This window comes from Homo sapiens, chromosome 4 (genome assembly GCF_000001405.40).
Source record: "Homo sapiens chromosome 4, GRCh38.p14 Primary Assembly".
Lineage (NCBI taxonomy): Eukaryota > Metazoa > Chordata > Mammalia > Primates > Hominidae > Homo > Homo sapiens.
In genome coordinates, this window is record NC_000004.12 from 26,175,008 (window position 1) to 26,198,096 (window position 23,089).

Genomic DNA, 23,089 nt, shown 5'->3' on the forward strand with positions numbered 1-23,089 from the left:
TTGGAAATGCAGCCTATGATGGCCCCTCTTCATGTGTTTTCTCATTGTAATGAAATCCAAAACTTTCCTCTATGACTCTGAGTAAAGGCACCATTTTCTAATGCCTGAACTAAAGGGAAAGTGCATCTGAATAGCAGAAGAGAATGTCTTCTACAGAGCCACGCTTTCTTGGCCCCAGTTTCAATCCTGGTGGAAAAATTTCCTGAAGCCGACGACAGCTGAGCTCCCCGCCTGGAATTCGGATGCTCAGAGGAGGGAAATTATACCCTGAGGTTCTGAGGGCTCCTGGGCAGCTTGTGATGTGCATGACTCGGGAGAGCAGACCTGCCACCTGCCCACCTCCACCCTACAAGCTGGGGGAGCTTGAGCTGGGGGGGGGATTTGAGTCTGGGGGAGGCAGCAGGGAGAAGCCACAAAGAGGGAGCAGAGAAACAAAGAAAGGAGCAGGAGTACAGACCCGCATCACATCGCAGGTTTCCCGCAAGTTGCAGGGAGGTTTCTGGGGCACCCAGTTACGTTTACCCCTTTTGTGTAAAAATCACCTCCAGGAAAGTCCCTGTTTCAAATGTGCACCACAGTGGCCTCTGAAGTCAATGGAATGATCGTGCCTAGATGGGGTTTCCCTGGGGTTGGTGTCCCCATTAGGGCTCCTTCTGGCCCTGTGGTGTCACTCCCACTGACAGACCTACATGCAGCAAACACAGCGTATTCAAGCACACACACCAAAGGACACTATTCTCCATGGTCTTTGAAGGTGTCCGTGAGGCAGAGGTTTAGCAGTGTGCCAGCGCTGTGTTTTGTACTCTCTTACTGTTATTGGGTAAATGCTCTCCCTATCTGAGCATCCTGACCTTCCCTCCACCCACCTGCTCACAGTCTTCATTCCCTCTGATATGCAAGGGGCAAGGTGTTACGCACCTTCTGGGATCCACCCTAAGAGGGAAAGGTGTGGAGAAAAGTGAAATCACTGAGCCCCTGGGCAGGGCTTTCGGGTAAATCTCTTCATTTTAGCCTCAAAAATAGGGTTGTCAGATAAAATGCAGGACACCCAGTTAAACTGGAATGTTAGATAAACAACAAATAATTTTTTAGTGTAAGAATGTCCTTAACACTACATGGGACATACTTAAACAAACAAATAAAAAGTTTGTTTATCTAACATTTCAGTTTAACTGGGTGTCTGTACTTTTCTTTGCTCAATCCAGCAACTATACTCAGAAACACCCCACTGAAGCTGGCTCTATTATTCCTATTTCAAAGGCAGGGAAGATGGGTCTTATGGAGACAAAGCAACTTGCTTGTGAGTGATAGAGCGGAGACGGGATTTTCAACCAGACTCACTGAGTTTAAAACCAGTGCTGGTTTCACAACACCACACAAGAATCCAAGTCTTAAAGTAAGGAGGTTGATGGGATGCTAATGGGGGAAACTGAGGCATGCTCTAAGGAATTTGGGGGGATTCCTGAATGCCTTGTTCAGAATGTAGCTAATCACTCAGTAAACAGCTGCTGGATGTAATTGAATTTAATTATCACCGTGCTTGCTAACTAAGACTGCTCCCCTCCTGTAAACACTCAAGAAAAGCCTTGTTTCTCAAGCCCAGCTGACGTCCCCCTTCAACACTATGCTTCAGCGCTTGGAGGCAGGCACTTCCCCACGTATATAGGCAGTGGTAGATGAGATCATGGGACATAGCTCCAAGAGAAGCTTCGAGTCACATTACATTCGTTTAACACAAGGAGGAAACCCACAAGGACTGAAGGAATGGGCTGGCCCAAGGCCTAAGCCAGGCCTGTCTTGGCTGGACCACCTTCAGAGCTCAGCGTGTGCAGCCCAGTTGCCTTGCTTGAACCAGGCTGCCTTGCCAGACCTTGAAGATGTCTATCTGCACTTCAGTCAACATTCTTTTAGGGGTGCAGAAGCTGCAGTCATAGGGTGAGGGAAGGAGTGTCCTGCTAGAACCTTTTCTTGTCTGAAGATGAGATGATTCAGTAAATGTAAAGTTGCCATGAGTCTGGTTTCTTTCCTTCTTAGACTTGTGACACTGTGAGTTTACACACAGGAATCTGGACTGGGTGTGTGCCGCTCCTAGATATTCATAAGCCTTCATAAGCTCCTAGATATTCATAAGCCTCCCGGGGAGAATTACTGTGACTTTGTGCATAGGAGAGCATCTCATCCTCCTCATCTTAAATTCAAGCCTTTCGCTCTAGCTCGTCACTGGAGGAGACATGAGAGGGTGAAGAGCAGTGAGGACCAAGGAAAATGGTATCTAAAGAAAATGTGGGCTGGGCGCAGTGGCTCATGCCTGTAATCCCAATACTTTGGGAGGCCAAGGAGGGCAGATCACTTGAGGTCAGGAGTTCAAGACAAGCCTGGGCAACATGGTGAAACCCCATCTCTACTAAAAATACAAAAAATTAGCTGGGCCTAGTGTTGTGCACCTGTAGTCCCAGCTATTTGGGAGGCTGAGGTGGGAGGATCGCTTGAACCCGAGAGGTGGAGGTTGCAGTGAGCCAAGATTGCACCACTGCACTCCAGCCTGTGCAACAAAGGGGAGACCCTGTCTCAATAAAAGAAGAAAGAGAGAAAGAGAAAGAGAAGGAAAGAAAAAAAGAAAAGGAGAAAGAAAGGAAGGAAGAAAGAAAGAAAGAGAAAAAATGTGAACCCCAATCCATCACCACTAAGAAAGTCAGCTACCTTGTAATCATTTTATTTTCTGATGATCAGAGTAATATATACTTATCTTAGAAAAGTTGAAAATGCTGAAAAGTAAAAAGAAAGCAATAAAAACAACCCATAATGCCATCATGCAGGGATATAACCTCTCCTAAAATTGTAGTATATTTTCTAAGTCTCTGCACATGTAATAAACACCATTGGCCTCGTACGTCATATGTGACTTTGTGTTCCACTTTTTGTTTTAACCTAACAAATCATAAACACTTCCCTCACATCATTAAAGACTCTGCAAAGAATCTTTATGACTTGGATGGATAGATTGAAAATGGCCACAATTTATTAGCTACTCTTGCTGAACATTTAGATTGTTTTCAGTGTTTTTCCAGGTAGAAATAATATAGCAATGAACATCTCTGAAGACATTTTTATCAGACCATTGGCACATGGTCTCCCCATGTCTAGAAACTAATATAAAGTGGCATCTGATCTGACCCAAAGATATATCTTAGGTTTTCTGTTTTACCATGCTCTGAAGAGCAGGTGTCTTCCAGAGGCCCCAGCAACCGAACTAGCTGGAGAACCACTGGACTCAGTTATAGAACAGGGACTCCATGGCCCCTTATCAAATGGAGGGGGCTCCAGTGCTGCAGAAGTCCCAGGCCCAGGCCGGGCATAGTGGCTCACACCTGTAATCCCAGCACTTTGGGAGGCCAAGGTGAATTGCTTGAAGCCAGTAGCAAGTCCCTGTCTGTACAAAAATTTTTTTTAATTAGCCAGGTGTGATGGTGCACGCCTGTGGTCCCAGCTTCTTGGGAGGCTGAGGTGGGAGGACTGCTTGAGCCTGGTAGGCAGAGATTGCAGTGGGCTGAGATCACACCAATGCACTTCAGCCTGGGTGACAGAGCAAGACCCCGTATCAAAAAAAAAAAAAAAAAAAAAAGAAGTCCCAGACCCCCTTAGCCTCAGGCCAGACTGCATGGGGCAGAGGAGGGGAGTGAGAGTGAAATCCCGGGAACAATTTTGAGAACCCACCATGCGATGTAATTCCACCGAGAACGGGATGCTCAAAGTCCACAGAACTGTGCCGTTTGGAATTTTTACAAAACCGTTGCTTGCTGATTTAGTTAATAATAATGTTGGTTTCCAAATTTTTTCTAAAAGGGAATCTTAAATGTTCTCCACTTGGACAGGGCTGGCTTAAAAATAAACAAATAAGTTATATAAGCCCACGTTTTGGAGGATCGGGTTTGGAAGCCAAGGTTCCTGTCTTGTGGTTGGGCCTCACGTGCGGCCTGCAGGGTGGAGAAGCAGGGGAGCTTTCCAGCCATCCCTGAAACCCAGCTGCTAATTGACGTCACAACACTCACCAGGGACCCATGCAGCGTGCACCCTGTGGTGCCTAGAAGACAGTCCCAGTGGTTGGAAGATAGTGAAGAGTAACAAAAAAGCAAGCACAACCACTGGTAGCTGATGACAGACTCCTTTTTCCTTTACTCTCTCCTCCAGTGTTAGATGTTTTGAAAGGTTTCATGGTGTTATCTGAGAGCTGTCATCTTCTGCTTGAGATCTGGCTGCATTTTGGTGGGAAGTGAGGTGATTACTGTGTTTTTTTTTTTTTTGAAAGCTCCCCCAGAAAGAACCATGTCAGATTCCCCAAAGAGTTACTAATGCGGATGGAGCCCCACTGTGGTCCCAGCTGTCATAGCCACTGCAAGGAACAGAAGAGGTCCGGGGCTCTGGTGGGCCCCAGAATCCCCCATGCATTCCTAGAGTAATATGAATAAGTGAACTGTCGCAAATGAGTCCATTCACGCAAGTACTTATGTAATGTAATGAGTGTGATCTTAGAAAGTAGGACAACAAACATATGAAAAAATGCTCAGTATTACTGATCATTAGAGAAATGCAAATCAAAACCACAATGAGTTACCGTCTCATACCAGTCAGAATGGCTATTACTAAAAAGTCAAAAAATAACAGATGCTGGCAACGTTGTGGAGGAAAGGGAACAGTTACACACTGTCAGTGGGAGTGTAAATTAGTTCAACCACTTTGGAAAGCAGTTTGGTGATTTCTCAAAGGGCTAAAGACAAGAACTAGCATTCAACCCAGCAATACCATTGCTGGGTATATACCCAAAGGACTATATTAATAAATCATTATATCATAAACACACATGCATGCAAATGTTTATTGCAGCACTATTCACAATAGAAAAGACATGGCATCAACCTAAATGTCCATCAACTACAGACTGGTTAAAGCAAATGTGGTACATATACACCAGGAAATACGATGCAGCCATAAAAAGAATGAGATCCTATCTTTTGTGGGAATGTGGATGGAATTGGAGTCAATTTTTCTTAGCAAACTAGCACAGGAACAAAAAACCAAATACTGCGTGTTCTGACTTATAAGTGGGAGCTAAATGATGAGAACACATGGACACAAGGAAGGGGACAACAGACACTGGGATCTTTTTGAGGGTGGAGGGCGGGAGAAGGGGGAGGATCAGGGAAAGTAACTATTGGGTACTAGGCTTAGTACCTGGGTGACGAAATAATTGATATAACAAACCCCTGTGACATGAGTTTACCTATAAAACAAACCGACACATGTACCCTTGAACCTAAAATAAAGGTTAAAAAAAAAAAAAAGAAAGAAAGTAGGAGACCCTGAGGGCTTCTCTTTGTTGGGGCTGTTATAACAAAATACCATAAACTGAGTGTTTGTAAACATCAGAATCTATTTCTTATAATTCTAGAGGCCAGAAAGTCTAAGATCAAGATGTCGGCAGATTCAGTGTCTGATGAGGGCCCACTTCCTGCTTCATAGATGGGGTCTTCTATCTGTGTCCTCACAAGGTGAAAGGGGTGAGGTATCTCCCTGGGGCCTCTTTTATAAGGGCACTAATACCATTCACGAGGGTTTCACCCTTGTGACCTAATCACCTCCCAAAGGCCTCATCTCCCAATACCTTGGAGATTAGCATTTCAATGCATGAATCTGGGGGGGACACAAACATTCAAACTATAGCATTGTGGTCCTAAGGGTTAAAAAATAAAATATAGTATGCCCTACCCTCAAATTGTTTATACTATTAATAGTTAAGGAGAATAGATGTGTTCACAAATAGCAGTAATAACTAGAAAATGCTACAAGACCATTATGCAGGGCAATGTAGACTAGGGATTTACATGGGTCAGGAATGCAAGGTAATTGAATCATAGAGGCGAGTATTTCCCATGCTGTTCTCAAGATAGTGAATAAGTCCTACGAGATCTGATAGTTCTATAAAGGGCAGTTCCTCTGCACATGTTCTTTTGCCTGCCACCATGTAAGACATCCCTTTGCTCTTCCTTGGTCTTCTGCCATGACTGTGAGGCCTCCCCAGCCACGTGGAACTGTGAGTCCGTTAAACCTCTTTTCTTTATAAATTACCCAGTCTCAGGTATGTCTTTATTAGCAGCGTTGGGAACAGACTAATACCGTGTGTTTTTAATTATTGCTCGGATTTCTCTTCTGACTTTCCTGAAGCTGTTTCTCACTGTAAGTCTGCGTGACCCATCAAGTATCAGCACAAGTTCACCTCCAAAGAAGCACAGTCTAAACAAAGGAAATTTAAAAACAAAATTTTAATCTCTGATTTACATCTTCCAAAACAAAATTAAAGAAGACCGCATTCAGAACACTCCAGCAACACATAACTCCTAAATTCTGCCCTATCTAATGCGATAGCCTTCCTCCCTCTCCATACCTCCTTGGGCCACAAAGAATATCCTCTCCCCTTTCCCTTCCCTTCAGTCTCTCAACTTTTATTATAGTCATGTGTCCCTTAATGATGGGGATATGTTCTAAGAAATGCATCACTAGGCAATTTCATTCTTGTGTGAACATCGCAGAGTGTACTTACACAAACCTAGATGGTACAACCTACCACCCACCTAGGCTATATGGCTCAGTCATAGGCTACAAACCAGTTCCTAGGCAACAAACCAGTATAGCATGTGACTCTACTGGATACTGTAGGTAATTGGAACACAATGGGAAGCATTTGTGTATCTAAACATAGAAAAAGTACATTAAAAATATGGCCTAAAAGATAAAAAATGGTATACTTGCATAGGGCACTTACCGGGAATGGAGCTCACAGGACTGGAAGTTGCTCTGGGTGAGTCAGTGAGTGAGTGAGTGGTGAGTGAATGTGAAGGCCTAGGACATTACTGTACACTACTGCAGACTTTGTAAACACTCTAACTTAGGCTACACTACATTTATTTAAAATTGTTTTCTTCAATAATCAATTAACTTTAGCTTACTGCAACTTTTTACATGTTAAACTTTTTGATCTTTTAAAACTTTTTGACTCTTGGCTGGGTGCGGTGGCTCACGCCTGTAATCCCAGCACTTTGGGAGGCCGAGGCAGCCGGATCATGAGGTCAGAAGATCAAGACCATCCTGGTTAACACGGTGAAACCCCGTCTCTACTAAAAGTACAAAAAATTAGCCGGGCGCCGTGGCGGGCGCCTGTAGTCCCAGTTACTCGGGAGGCTGAGACAGGAGAATGGCGTGAACCCGGGAGGCGGAGCTTGCAGTGAGCCGAGATCGCGCCACTGCACTCCAGCCTGGGCAAAAGAGCAAGACTCCGTCTCAAAAAAACAAACAAACAAACAAACAAAATTTTTGACTCTTTCGTAATAACATTTAGCTTAAAACAGATTGTATAGCTGTACAAAAATATTTTCCTTATATCCTTATTCTAAAAGCTTTTTAAAACTTTTTCATTTATTTTTACTTTTTAAACTTTTTTTTTTTTTTGCCTGAGACAGAGTCTTGCTCTGTCACCCAGGCTGGAGGGCAGTGGCCTGATCACGGCTCACTGCTGCCTCAACCTCCTGGGTTCAAGCCACCCTCCTGTCCCAGCCTCCTGAGTAGCTGGGACTACAGGCATGCCCCACCACATCTGGCTAATTTTTTAATTTTTTTTTTGTAGAGATGGGGGTCTCATTATGTTACCCAGACTGGTCTTGAACTCCTCAGCTCAAACGATCCTCCCACCTCAGCCTCCCAAAGTACTGCGATTACCGGTGTGAGCCACCACCCGGCTTACTTTTTAAACTTCTTTGTTAAAAGCTAAGACACACACACATTAGCATAGGCCTCCACAGGGCCAGGATCATCAGTATCACTGTCTTCTCCCTCCACATCTCTTCCTACTGGAAGGTCTTTGGGGCAATAACATGCATAGAACTGTCATCTCCTATGATAACAATACCTTCTCCTAGGTACCTCCTGAAGGACCTGCCTGAGGCTGCTTTACAGTTAACTTTTCACGTAAGTAGAAGGAATACACTCTAACCTAACAATAAAAAGTATAGTATAGTAAATACAGAAACCAGTAACACAGTCAATTTATTATTATCAAGCATTACATACTGTACATAGTTTATGTTTTATCTGTAGATTTTTATAGGACTGGCAGAGCAGAAAGTGTGTGTACACCAGCATCACCATTCATCAATGCATTACTCATAAACATGTGAGTAACACACTGGGCTGCATTGTCACTAGGCGATAGGAAGTTTTCAGCTCCATTATAATTTGATGGGACCACCCTCATATATGTGGCCCATCATCCACAGAAACTGTGATGCGGCACATGACCGTACTCAATTCCTTTTTACAAGGCAGATAACAGGGAAGAGTCAGAGCACACGTTCTTGTTAGTAACCGTCCATTCTTGTTAATAACCACCTGCCCCATTACTCGCAGACAGGGCTCTCCCATGCCATTCGTAGGGCCTGACACTGGTGCAGCTCCCCTAAAGCCAGTTTGTTTTTCACTTCAGTTCTTTTGATGCTCCCAACTCAGACAACTAGAAGACAATTTAATCTTGCGCAGTAAAATGGAGGTGTTGGGAAATTTTTCTAACAGATTTAAGTCTGGTTAGTGGTGGGCTAGGACCTGGCTGATCCCAGCAGCCTTCTTACCAGGACTGATAATAGCCCAGATGGTCTGTCCTGTTAAAGAAAAAATGTAGCCGGGCGTGGTCGCTCACGCCTGTAATCCCAGCACTTTGGGAGGCTGAGGCGAGCAGATCACTTGAAGGTCAGGAGTTTGAGACCAGCCTGGCCAACATGGTGAAATCCCTTTTCTACTAAAAATACAAAAAATTAGCCAAGCACGGAGGCACGCACCTGTAGTCTCAGCTACTTGGGAGGCTGAGGCAGGAGAATCGCTTGAACCCAGGAGGCGGAGGTAGCAGTAAGCTGAGATCGCATCACTGCACTCCAGCCTGGGCGACAGAACAAGACTCTGTCTCAAAAAAACAAAATAAAAAAAATTAGCCAGGCATGGTGGTGGGTGCCTGCAGTCCCAACTACTCTTGAGGCTGAGGCAGGAGAATCGCTTGAACCTGGGAGGCCGAGGTTCCAGTGAGCTGAGATGGCACCACAGCACTCCAGCCTGGGTGACAAAGTGAGACTTCATCTCAAAAAAAAAAAAAAAGAAAGAAAAAAAATGTATCCAAACACTTGTTAAAGACAAGTGGTGGACTATTCAAGGTGGACTATTCAAGGGGCCCGTGGCCATAGGTACAGGGATCACTGCAATGGGTTCTTGCTACTGGGGAGAGAGACTGGACTCAGCTCCGACTGTAACAGCAAGCAGGGATTGACAGCCAGGGAGCAGGGTGGGGGCAGTGGATGAAAAATTACTAAAACGAAACATCAAGGATGGAGAGTTCCTGTCTTGATAGGATTTTTGCTGAAGGCAGGCCAAGGTGATAAGCTATCACGGAGGGTGGTCAGATACCAAGGGTGGGGGACTTTCCTAAACTGACTTAGTAGGATTCTTGCTCAAACTGGATTCTACAAGGACAGAAAGAAAGGCCCAAGGTCAAGACCTCAGGACCAGTCAAGCAGAGGACTCAGGGGAGGCTGAGTCAAGTTTTGGTCAAAGGACATGATCTTTGTCAATCCTCATAACAGATTGGAGTGGGAGGCCAAGTCCGGGATGTGGGGACTGGCTCAGAGCTCCAAAGTATCCTACGTAATATTAAGGGCATGGAAAAGTCCCATAGTTGCCCAGAAGTATAGTTTGTCGGAAGGCACAGTAATAGATACCAATCTGTCTATAAATGAAGAACTTTTTTTGAAGATAGTTATGTTGGGCCGGGTGCGGTGGCTCATGCCTGTAATCCCAGCACTTTGGGAGGCCAAGATGGGCAGATCACCTGAGGTCAGGAGTTCGAGACCAGCCTGGCCAACATGGCAAAGCCCCGTCTCTACTAAAAATACAAAAATTAGCTGGGTGTGGCATCAGGCACCTGTAATCCTAGCTACTCGGGAGGCTGAGGCAGGAGAATCACTTGACCCTGGAAGGCAGAGGTTAGAGTGAGCCGACATTGCGCCACTGCACTCCAGCCTAGGGGATAGAGTGAGACTCTGTCTAAAAAAAAAAAAAAAGAAAAGATAGTTATGTTGTTTTGCATCAAGGAGGGATTTTTTTTTTTTCCAAGAAGGGCTTGTATTTTTTAAAGTGGTTTTTCTTTTGCAAAGTGGCAAACTTCTTACGGTATTTCTCACCCTCTAAGTTCTTGCTATCTCTTTTGCCACCCTCTGCCTGTGTCAAATGGCAAATTTAATGGAAGTTATTTGGAAGACAGTGGCAAGAGATGGAAGAAAAATGGTTTCTCTCCTCAACACCACGGTCAGGGTAATGCGTTTTCCTCACTGCTGCAAAGGAAATCGTAAGAGCATTTTGCCCACTCCAAACATCTGAAACTGGAATTACGAGGTTGTATGGAGAAGGCCAGGAAAAATAATTTTGGGGATGGTTTGATGCTTTCTGAGGCCTTTTACTAGTGACCTGCAATATTAATTATCCAGAGTCCCTCGGTCTCCACCTCAGCTTCTGAATAAGGCATTTGTATGGTGATTCATAGGCTGTGAAAGCCAGTGTCATTAACCAGGCCACTGAAATTCAATCCCAGTGCATCTCAATTCTGTACTAGATTCCTAGGATCCCCACAGGTAAATCTAGTCTATTTGTAAGCCAGGCAAAGGTTGGATATAGAAACAGGACTGGGGCCGGGCACGGTGGCTCACATCTATAATCCCAGCACTTTGGAAGGCCGAGGCCGGTGGATCACCTGAGGCCAGCCTGGCCAACATGGTGAAATCCTGTCTCTACTGAAAATACAAAAATTAGCTGGGTGTGGTGGCACGTGCCTGTAATCCCAGCTACTTAGGAGGCTGAGGTAGGAGAATCACTTGAACCCAGGAAGCAGAGGTTGCAGTGAGCTGAGATGGCGCCATTGCACTCCAGCGTAGGCGACAAGAGTGAAATTCTGTCTCAAGAAAAAAACAAAAAGAAAAAGAAAGAAAGAAACAGGAATGGAACTACTACTGCATGTTGAAGACAAAGAATTCTGATAGGCCTGATAGACATCCACTTAAGTATAGAGAATACCGTAACTTCTTTCTGCTCCCCCCTTTTTTTTAAAAAAAAAAAAAAAAAAAAAAAGACCAATGTATAAGAAGTCCTGGTTCTACCATTTATTAGCTGTGTGACCTTTAGCATGTTACTTAATCTCTCTATGCCTCAGTTTCCTCATCTGTTAAATTGGGATAACATTGTTACTTAACTCATAGGGTTTTTATGATGCTTAAGTCAGTTAATATTTGTAAGGCAATTGGAACAGTGCCAGGTACACAGTGAATACTACATGGGTATTTGGTAGATACACTTTGAGAAAAGAGTCATGTTTAATAGAATTGAGCAAACTAGTCTGAAGGGCAATGTTGCCTGCCTGTGCCCTGTGGACCCAACCACTCTCTTTCTTGCAGTGCCTGAGCGAGACCCTCTGAGGTCAGGGTTGGGCAGCCTCTCTAAGACAAACCAAGCAGTGAGGTGCTGAGATGTACAGGCCAAGGCTTGGCCATTTGCTTTCACAGACCTGCTGAGGTCCACTCTCAGAAACTAAGTGGGATTCAAAAATGTTCACTCTAGTATTCGCTAAAAAACAAGTCTGAAAACTATACTTCTTTATACATTTCTAATTTACCTAAACTTTAATTTACCATTTCTATTTAAGATTAAATGATTACAAAAGATTCTCAATGTGTTATACCAACTTATACTTGAAAATAAAACAGCTGCATCACTGTTTTAAGTGACTTTATTATCCACGGAATACCCCAGCAATTTGCCCCTCACTATCACCCATTTTAAAAAATACACAAACAAGGCCTGGCGCAGTGGACCACGCCTGTAATTTCAGCATTTGGGGAGGCTGAGGTGGGCAGATTGCTTGAGCCCAGGAGTTCAAAACCAGCCTGGACAACATGCCAAAACCCCACCTCTACAAAACACACAAAAAATTAGCTGGGTGTGGTGTTGCATACCTGTAGTCCCAGCTACTTAGGAGGCTGAGGTGAGAGGATTGCTTGAGCCCGGGAAGTGGAGGCTGCGGTGAGCCATGACTGCGCTACTGCATTCCAGGCTGAGCAACAGAGTGAGACCCTGTCTCGAAAAAACAAAAACGAAAACAAAAAACACAAACAAGCTTTTTCTTTTACGGTCAGAAATCTTACATTATTCTTGTATCTCTTTGAACTGTTATTTCTGTTTTTCTTCCCCCTCAGGATTTTATTCTAATTTTTTTTATGTGTTAAAGTCTTTTGTTGACCATCTTATTGTACTCTGTAACATATATGTGAGTGAAACTTTTTTCCTCTGACTACTAGGCTCTAAATGTAAAAGAAAAACATCTTCTCGAAGTAAGTATCACAAGTTATTGGTAGTACACAATTGAACAGAACAACATAAATATATTTTAACTCTGAGATATAATTATAATATTTAAAGTAATTTTAATACATCTCAATTACATGGATGTAGATATTTACTGCCAACAAGTTCATATATTCATGAATAACTGTTACACACTACTGGAAAGAGAGGAGGTTTAGAACAATTTCTATCCTGTTTTTCTTTTTCATAGATGTGAACACTGAGAATTTTCCTTCCTATAAATTAGTAGATGGGGGCTGGGCACTGTGGCTCACACCTATAATCCCAGCAATTTGGGAGGCCGAGGTGGGTGGATCACCTGAGGACAGGAGTTCAAGACCAGCCTGGCCAACATGGGGAAACCCTGTCTCTACTAAAAATACAAAAAAAAAATTAGCCAGGTGTTGTAGCACACTCCTGTAATCCCAGCTACTCAGGAGGCTGAGGCAGGAGAATCACTTGAACCCAGAAGGTGGAGGCTGCAGTGAGCCAAGATCATGCCACTGCACTCCAGCCTGGGCAACAGAGCGAGACTCTGTCTCAAAAAATAAAATAAAAATAAAAATACAAAAAAATTAGCTGGGCAGGAGGGTGTGTGCCTGTAATCCCAGCTACTTGGGAGGCCAAGGCACGAAAATCCCTTGAACCCAGGAGGTGAAGGTTGCAGTGAGCTGAGATGGCACCACTGCACTCCAGCCTGGACGACAGAGCAAGACTCTGTCACACACACACACATACACACACACACACGTAAAAAAGTAGATGAGAAGAGAAAGAATTTTCTTAAAGCACTGACAAACAATTCTTTGAACTCTTTTTAATAAAAGGATCTTAATAAATCTTAAGGATCTATCGCTTTGGTTAGGTCTCCCTACAATTTTGTCAAAAGCAAATAATTAGAAATCATTCAACTTGAGAACAGATTTGTTGTTTAATGTCTCATTCTCTGAAGTATACTAAAAAGGTCAAGACTTTTAAATAAGTATTATTTTACCAGTTATCCTTACACTTAGAGGCATATTATTAAATCTGTCACAGAACAAGTTGAGAAAACAAAAATTTTTATTTCCATACATCTTTTGTAGTAGAACTACATTAATGCTTTTACCTTGTGGACCTTAAATAAAATTTTGTCAAAATCTTGGAGCTGCTGATTTGGCTTATTCAACTGATGAAAAATGTTTCATCATATAACCTAATTTTCAAATCAGTCAGCCAAATTAGATATATTCCTTGTCATTAAAAGTGTGACTTTATTGTTCAATTTAAGTAAGTGTCTTAATATTCATTTTGAAGAATATTATAAAAACCACTGAGGAATAAATTATGCATGCATCATATAAGATAGATTACTAAAGAGCAATCAAGTTTACATTGATATAGATCTGATTTAATTAATTTTATAAGTATTAAACAGGGTAAGAATGCTGTTTCTCATAACTTGATTTGCAATAAAATGATACAGTATGTTATTAAAATTATGTTATCTATGAAGCCAGAAATGTGATAGAAGGCAAGATAGTCTTTCCTTAAGCTGTGTGTGTGACCTTGGGAGTAAATGAGAATTATGTTTAAAAATAAGAAATAGCTGGGCAAAGGGCTCACATCTGTAATCCCAGTGCTTTGGGAGGCCAAGGTGGAAGGATCACATGAGGCCAGGAGTTTGAGGCTGCAGTGAGCTATGATCATGCTACTGTACTCCTGCCTGGGCAACAGGGCAAGACCCTGTCTCTATATTAAAAACAAATCATAAATAATTTTATTAGCCCTCATGCTCAAACTTTTCTATTTAATAAAGTTATTTAATGGAAAACAAACTACATCTCTATACTGCAAAAACTGATCCAACCTGCCACATGTATCAAATAAGAAGTAGAAAATGTATGATTTTGACTGGGCACAGTGGCTCACACCTGTAATCCCAGCACTTTGTGAGTCTGAGACAGGCAGATCACTTGGGGTCAGGAGTTTGAGACAAGCCTGGCCAACATGGTAAAACCCTGTCTCTACTAAAAATGCAAAAATTAGCCGGATGTGGTGGCGCACACCTGAAATCCCAGCTACTTGAGAGGCTGAGGCAGGAGAATCGCTTGAACCCAGGAGGTGGAGGTTTCAGTGAGCCAAGATTGCACCACTGCACTCCAGCCTGGGAAACAGAGCAAGACTCCACCTAAAAAGAAAGAAAGAAAGAAAATGTATGATTTGATAAAAACAGTATAGATTTGATAAAATCTCATGGAATAGTAGACATTAAATCTGGAAGACATAACCTAAAATTTCTATCTGTAGGTTTTATCATGGAAATCTTAATAGTTCCAGAAAACATTGCTATGTTCATTGAAGAGTCAGCATCATTAATTAGCCTGTAGGGCTCAGCTGTTGTCAGGTGCTTTCCTTAACAACTAATAACAAGTCCTAGGAAGAAGACTTTTCTTAAACACACAAGTTCCCCCAACACACCCAACACACACACACAGATACACACTTGACAGATGCTGCCATTCATAATAAAATTCAAACACAGGAGCAAATGGATTATACAATACCTGTGCATCAGATAATAATGGTCAATATTTAATGAGCACTTACTACATGCAGTCACTGTTCCAATACCTGAATACAGTAGCTAGAAAGAATCACTTGCTCTCAAGCATATGGAAATCAGCTACTTGTAGCATTTGCTGCCTGCTTTGCTTTGTTCTCATGGAAATCTCCCTTGAGAGCAGCAAATCTTTTGAGAGCAGTGCTGGTTTAGAAGATGGTGCTGCCTTTCCATTCTACAATTGATCTTGATTGAGAACATCCCTTCACGGACTAAGATACCCAACTTCTAAGGCAAAACCTGGTCCCTATGGGAAACATAAGAGGGGGAAAGGCAGGTCCTAGACAGATTTATGGGACTTGGATTAACAATTACATGAGGGTTTCCCAAAATGATAACTCAAGTTTGACCTGAGTTTGGTACCCAGAAGGCTTTCAAACCATGGGTAATGTACCATGATATGATTAGAAATAGGTGAGGGCATCTGCCTTCCCTTTATACAGTGAGAGAAAGGAAAAGGACTTATGGAAAGGGAGAACCTGCAGGGACATGCATGCCTCTCTTCGAGGGCTCCAGAAGGGGCCTCAAAACTATCCTTACCCAAGTACTTTGTGGACAGTCTTCAGCGAGTTTGAAGACCATTAGCCTATGTGTAATTTCCTTGAATACAGGGGACCCTCTTTTGCTGTTTGACCCTTCTCTGTAACAGCAAAAATATTTATCTAGAGTAAGCTGTCAATCAATGCCTGTTGCACTGAGAAATGATGTCAGCTTTGTTTGGGGTTTTGCAGATCAGTTTCTTGAGAAGTAACATACATACATTGAAATGTATAGTGTGGCCAGGCACAGTGGTTCATGCCTATAATCCCAGCACTTTGGGAGGCTGAGGCAGGAGGATCACTTGAGCTCAGGAGTTTGGCACCAGCCTGGGCAACATACCGAGACCTCGTCTCTACTAAAAGTCAACATAAAAACAATAGCCAGGCATAGCAGCACACACCTGTGGTTCTAGCGACTCAGGAGGCTGAGGTGGGATGATCACATGAGCCCAGTAGGTCAAGGCTGCAGTGAGCTATGACTGCACCACTGCATTCCAGCCTGGGCAACGGAATGAGACCCTGTCTCAAAAAAAAAAAAAAAAAAAAAAAAAAAAAATATATATATATATATATATATATATATATAGAGAGAGAGAGAGAGAGAGAGAGAGAGAGATAGAGAGAGAGAGAGGGAGAGAGGGAGAGAGAGATCGTATCAAGTGTATCACTCAAGGATGATTTTTTGATTTTTTTATATATATACAGACTCCTCTACTACCCAAATCAAGAGAGAGAACAACTGCAGCTCCACAGAGGGTTTTCTTGTGTCCTTTTTCAATCTATTATCTACCCCCATCCCAGGTAACATCTGCATTGGGAGTGACCAAGACCACCCCAGGTTCAATGACTCACCAGGAGGACTCATGAGACTCAGAACATAGTTGTACTCATGGCAATAATTTATTACAGTGAAAGGATAAGAAGCAAAATCAGCAAAGGAGAAAAGTGCAGGGAGCAAAGTCCAGAGGAAAGCAGGAGCCAGCTCCAAGAGTCCTCTCCCAGCCGAGTCATGCAAGACCCACTTAACTCTCCCAGCAATGACGGGAGACTACATGTATAAAATGTGGTCTACCAGGGAAGCTCATTAGAGACTTAGTATCCAGGGTTTCAACTGGGGGCTGGCTGGTCATAAAGGCACTCTTTGCCTACCACATAGCAAAATTCAAGGCAGATACTCAGTATAAACCATACTGCCTAGGCACAGTGAACCACGCTTATCAGTTAAATATTTATGGAGAATACTCTGAAAACCAAGTTCCCAGATGCCAGCTAAGGGCCAACCTTACAAGCAGGCCTTTCTAGGGATACCAATCTCAGGCCTGCTATGTAAACTCTTCCACAAACCACTATCCTGACTATACATTTGTTTGTCCCATTCTTTAAAATTTTTTTTTTTTTTTTGAGGCAGAGTCTCACTCTGTTGCCCAGGCTGGAGTGCTGTGGCACAATCTCAGCTCACTGCAACCTCTGCCTCCCAGGTTCAAGTGATTCTCCTACCTCAGCCTCCCAAGTAGCTGGAACTACAGGCTGCGCCACCACGCCCGGCTACTTTTTGTGTTTTTAGTAGAGACAGGGTTTCAACCATGTTGGCCAGGCTGGTCTTGAACTCCTGACCAAGTGACCTGCCCGCCTCGACCTCCCAAAGTGCTGGGATTACAGGTGTGAGCCACTGTGCCCAGCCCCATTCTTTAACTTTATAAATAGAATGACATAACACACATTCTTTTGTGTCTAACTTTTTTCACTTAAAATAATATTGTGATACTCATCTAAGTATTTGTCCTGCACACACAAATTCCCCCATATACACAACACAGATGTTGCTATTAATCATTAAATGCAATCACAGAACAAAAGGATTATGCAATACCCACTCATTAGATTAAAATGGCCAGTATCTAATGAGCACTTACTATATGCCAGTTACTACTCAAAGTTATTGACATATACTAGCACTTAATTGGTTCTCAACTCTATGAGGTGGGTCTGATTAACATCCCACTGCTGGATGAGGAAGTGAACAGAGACCAGTGGGCTGGCAGTTGGAAGACACAGCATGCAAACCCGGGAAGCCTGGCCCCACCAGTTTAGGTTTAACCATCACCACACATTGCCTCGCTGCCATGTAAGCCCATTTCTTATTATTTCCATTCCATAATAAGCACAATCACCATAATAGGCAGGATAACAGCCCTCCAAAATGTCCATATCCTAGTCACCAGAACCTGCAAATACGTCACCAAAGGGACTTTGCAGGTGTGATTACATTAGAGATCCTGAGATCGGGAGAATATCCTGGATTCTACAAGGGTCCTTATGAGTGAAAAAGGGAGACAGAAGAACCAGAATCAGAGAAGGGGATATGATGACAGAAGCAGAGGCTGGAGTGAGGCAGTTGCTGGCTTTGAAGATGGAAGAAGGAGCCATGAGCCAAGGAATTCAGGTCCCTAGAGGCTGGGACATTCAGAAAAAAAAGTGCAGCCCTGCTGACGTGGCACTTTTAGCTCCATTAAGATCCATGTCACCTTCTGACCTCCCAAACTGTAAAATAATAAATTTGTGTTCCTTTAAGCCACAGAACTAATGGGAAGTTATCACAGTAGTAATAGGAAATGAAAAGGCATGTATCAGTGGAGGGATGAATATTCACAAAGCGTTTCATACAAGCTGATCACAGCAACAGGTTGCCCAGAGCAACAAGGAGGCTCTTGCTTCCATATTGAAAATGAAGGTGCCTCTTGTCTCAGTTTTGGAATAAGTAAAGGTTATCCACAGAGACGCGTTCTCATTTTTACTTTTACAAAGTTGACTTTGGTGGTTCTTTTTATGAAAATTTCCCCTTTCTTCTTTGTTTCGGTGTCAATTTTTTTTTTAGTTGAAGACTTTTTAAAACTTTCCCTTCCTGAACATTTTCCACTGGGTTTGAGCCCTGAATCTGCCTTTCAACTTGCTCCAGAACACTGGCATCACCATAATCGCTAGTATAATAAATCATGGAACTATTACCCTTGCTCAACATAAGCACCTTCTCCACTCCCACAGAATTGCAATCGCTGCTGTCAGATTGTCTTCACACAGCTCAAGCTTCACACGGCAGCCAGAGGGAGCTTTTTAATCCAAAAATCTGACACTGCCTTTCCTGTTCTCCAGCTCCTTCCATAGCCCCCTCTTATGCTCAGAATGATGACCAGATTGCTAAGCCTGACCTCCAGAGCCTGCAATACCTGGCCCCTATTGCCTTCTCAGCCTCTATCTCCCTGCATAGTTTCCCATTCTCTGGTCCTACCAAGCTGCTCATTGCTTCAAAACATGGCAGGTTCTCCCAAGCCTCTCTCCCTCACACATCTTGCTTCCTTTACGTAGGGCAACATTCCCTCTCTCTTCCTTCAGGCTAATTCTATCCATTCCTTCCTTAGCTGATTATTACACCCAATTATCCCAGTGTCACCTGCAAAGACACGGGTAATAGCATTTGATAGACACACAGGTGTTTATCCAGAACATTCATCCCGTTTACTTCTGAACCATGGTTTCCTATGTCATCTATGTCTAATTTCTTGGCTGGATACTGGCCTGTCAGCCCCTTTCTCTGGCTCTTGGGTCTTGACCTTTCCCATTGGATAGTTGACACTATGAAACTTGCTCTGAGAATCTGGTACATTTGAGCCCCGGGTAAGAAACACTCCCAAAGGCTCTAGTCTCAGCCAGATATAAACATGCACATGAGCACACACACACATTTAATCCAGAAGAGAAACACTAAGGAGCACTGATATAATAACCATAGATAATATCTATTGAGCACTTGCAGCATGCCAGGCACTGTGCTAAGCACTTTAATAATCTTGTGCCCATTGTCAGATGAGGAAACTAGGTTCATGAAGATGAAATAACTTGTTCCGTGCCACACAGCCTATCAGTGATGGAACCACCAGGTCACATGACTTCAGAAAGCTCAGCCATCCCCCCAGAACAGATTTCTGGGCCTGTAGGCCCCCACCTATCACCACCACACTTCACCTCTCCTCTGAGCTAGCACAGTTACCTTTGCATTTTGTACCCTGGGTTCTAATTGTGTGGACCCGTGTGTCTCCACTAGACCATGAGCTTCCCAGAGGAAGAAGCTCAACTTTCATCTCAGAGCACACGATACAAATGCAAAATAAAATGTCTCCCTCAGAGAGTGGCTGTGACCAGTGGTCCTGAAGTCTCTGCTGCCCTGGTTTTGCACACCCTCCTAACCATATCTATGTGTGCACCTGCTAGGGAGCAAAGAATAAAATGTGAGACTCCTACTAACCCTCTCTGCCCAGGTTCCTGTATGGTGATGAGCTCTCTTTCTGAACTGATTCATAGCTGTCTTTTCAGGTTTATACTGTAAGCCACCTCAAATCTCTTGGGAAATAAAAGTGAGTTTATTTATAAATGAATACGTGTTTATCTGGGAGATTAATAAAAACTAGAGCCAGGCATGGTGGCTCATGTCTGTAATCCCAACACTGGGAGGTCAAGGTGGGAGGATCCCTTGAAGCCGAGAGTTCAAGACCAGCCTGGCCAACATAGCGAGACCTTGTCTTTACAAAAAGTTTAAAAATTACCTGGGCGTGGTGGCAGCATGCCTGTAGTCCTACCTACTTGGGAGGCTGAGGCAGGAGGATCACTTGAGCTCAGAAGTTCAAAGCTGCAGTCTTTTATCTATCCAGTTGTCCATCAACTGGTGAATGGATAAATGAAATGTTCTGTACAGCAGAACATTATTCAGTAAGAAAAAGGAATAAAGCTATGATCACACCACTGCATTCCAGCCTGGGTGACAGAGTAAGATACTGTCTCAAATAATAATAATGATAAGTTTTAAAGCTAAAATGATCCATGGTGGTCAGCTGCTTTACTTCTCCCCTTTCTCAGACAAAATAACTAAGGTCTATATCGAACTTCGAAAACTGATCTCTGAGTATGTTTTTTTTTGTTTTGGTTTTTGTTTTTTGAGACGGAGTCTCACTCGGTCGCCCAGGCTGGAGTGCAGTGGTGTGATCTTGGCTCACTGCAACCTCCGCCTCCCAGGTTCAAGTGATTCTCCTGCCTTAGCCTCCTGGGTAGCTGGGATTACAGGCGCCCACCACTACACCCAGCTAATTTTTTATATTTTTAGTAGAGACGAGGTTTCACCATGTTGGTCAGGCTGGTCTTGAACTCCTGACCTTGTGATCTGCCTGCCTCGGCCTCCCAAGGTGTTGGGATTACAGGCGTGAGCCACCGCACCTGGCCGTGTGTTTTGTATTTTGACCCACATGACTTTTTAGAGTGTCGTTATTTTCAAATTGAGTGCACACACACAAACATATACACACACACAAAGAGGAAACAGAGAGAGAGAGAAGAGAGAAAAGAGAGAGAGAGAAATCTGTTAGCTCTGGTTCTATTGAAATGTTGAAACATCTAGCAGCCTCTGGGTACATACCCAAAATAAATGCAAACATCCATCTACACAAAACTTGTAAGTGAGTGGTCATAGCAGCATCATTCATAATAGCCCCAAAGTAGAGGGAGCCCAAATGTCCATCAGCTGGTGTATGGATGAATGAAATGTTCTGTATCCACAGAGCAGAATATTATTCAGTAAGAAAAAGGAATGAAGTATTGATACCTGCTGCAACATGAATGAACCTTGAAAAACCTTATACTAAATGGAAGAAGCAAGTTGTCAAAGGCTCGATATCGTATGATTCTATTCATATGAAATGTCCAGAAGAGGTGAATTTGCAGAGACAAGAAAGTATATTAGTGGCTGCCTGGGACTGAGGGGAAAGGAGGAGCAGGTGTGACTGCTCGTGGGTATGGGATTCCTTTTAGGGGTGATTCTAAATTTACAAAATGCTTCAAATGTTTTATCTTGCCTGAGAATCATAACAAACCTATGAATTGCTTACTGTTATCTACATTCGATAGATCTGCACAGTCAGAAACTGAGTAGCCTATCCAAGGAGGTGAAATTTGAGCTCAGATTTTCTGACTTCGAATTCCACACTTCTTGATTTAGTATGAAATATTTCAAAAATACATAAAAGTACAAAATCACATAACAGACAGCCACATACCCACTGTTGAGATAAAACAGATGTCGGCATTTTGCTGCATTTGTTCCGGAGCTCCCCCAGCCCTTCCTGACTGTGTCCTGATCATGACACCATTCTTCTTTATCCTGGGCCAAATCTGCCATGCTGGAGAGGCTTGGATTGCTCCTCTGTCATGGAGGCTTCTTCTTCCTTCACTTTTAAATTAATGTTCAAGCGGATTTCCTTGGATCATAGGAATAGTTTAAAAGAGAATTGAGACCCAAAAGAAGAATGATGTAGAAACACTTGAATGTATTTCTCTTATCATCTGCCATCTGTATCAATCTTTCTCTCGCTCACTCTCTCTCTTTTATTTTTGTAATAACTGGTTAATTCTCCTTTCAAAAGCTCCAGAGGTTGTCCTGAAGGTTTAATTATAATGTTCATTATAATGGAGTATAGCTGGATCAAGTAAGTGGACTTCAACCAAGGTCAGCAGTGGCAAGGTTGTGGTGACCAGTGCTCGGTTGTCCTAGGACTGGTTATGATAAGATCTACTCAGCACTTGGGGAAACAGCATGTTGTATAGTGGAAGAATTGGGGACCCAGGACCACCTTTCCATCATGTGTAAAATGGGGATAATAACACAGGCTGGACCTCTGCCCCATCCCGGTCCAGATGTGCTCTACCATCCAGTACAGCTAAGGAAGAGTCACACTGGGTCAGGAAATTCAAGTCATTTCTTGAGCTGAATGCAATCAGGAGAAAGTGGGCCAAGGAGCCAGCTCAAGGTGAGTCATTTGGCTCAAGAGAACTTTGTCAGTGGTCCCAGCAACACACTCTGCTGCTAATAGCCATCTCGTTTGATCTCGGCACTGATGCTCAAACCACAGATTTCCTGGGCCTGCAGCCTCCCAGGAAATGGAAACCAAACAACAACGGATGATTCATATTTCCCCTAAAGCGGCAAGAGAGAAACTACCTGCCGCAGAAATTGCAGCCAGCTTTTGGAGGCCCTGGCCTGAACTGTTCCTCCAGCCTCCTCTGCTGATGTGTATGGGCACCCCTGGCCGCTTGTCTTCTGACTGGTTTCTCTCCAAAGAGAGAATAGGTAAAGGAGAGGAGAGAGGAGAGGAGGGGAAGGGAAGGGAGGGGAGTGAAGGGGGAGCAGAGAGAAAAGGAGAGTTAACATTTATTTATTAAGTGCCCATTTTCAGACAGGTTCTGACTATATCGGCCACTTTCCATATATTACTTTGTGTAATTTTCATTATAATACTATGAGGCAGGCCGGGCGCAGTGGCTCACTTCACACCTGTAATCCCAGCACTTTGGGAGGCCGAGGGGGGTGGATCACCTGAGGTCAGGAGTTCGAGACCAGCCTCAACATGGAGGAACCCCGTCTCTACTAAAA

General features: G+C 43.4%; 1 protein-coding gene and 1 long non-coding RNA gene across 3 annotated transcripts in view, besides 2 other annotated features; one reads left to right on the forward strand and one right to left on the reverse strand.

Moving 5' to 3' along the window:
• The window catches only part of RBPJ (recombination signal binding protein for immunoglobulin kappa J region), a 329,683-nt gene that overhangs the window by 69,559 nt on the left and 237,035 nt on the right, over positions 1-23,089 (forward strand). The window lies entirely within an intron of this gene.
• Positions 465-644: an enhancer, noted in NCBI's record as "active region_21389". NCBI's record gives its function as "activates an Ori minimal core promoter by ATAC-STARR-seq in GM12878 lymphoblastoid cells {active_cell/tissue: GM12878}" and the evidence as "EXISTENCE:reporter gene assay evidence [ECO:0000049][PMID:35858748]".
• LOC105374545 (uncharacterized) lies at positions 3,735-22,994 on the reverse strand. Its single transcript, XR_925510.3, has 3 exons — positions 22,658-22,994; positions 21,717-21,917; positions 3,735-6,288 (listed from the first exon to the last, which is right to left on the reverse strand). It is a non-coding gene; the product is annotated as an uncharacterized LOC105374545 (long non-coding RNA).
• Positions 22,209-22,738: an enhancer, noted in NCBI's record as "active region_21390". NCBI's record gives its function as "activates an Ori minimal core promoter by ATAC-STARR-seq in GM12878 lymphoblastoid cells {active_cell/tissue: GM12878}" and the evidence as "EXISTENCE:reporter gene assay evidence [ECO:0000049][PMID:35858748]".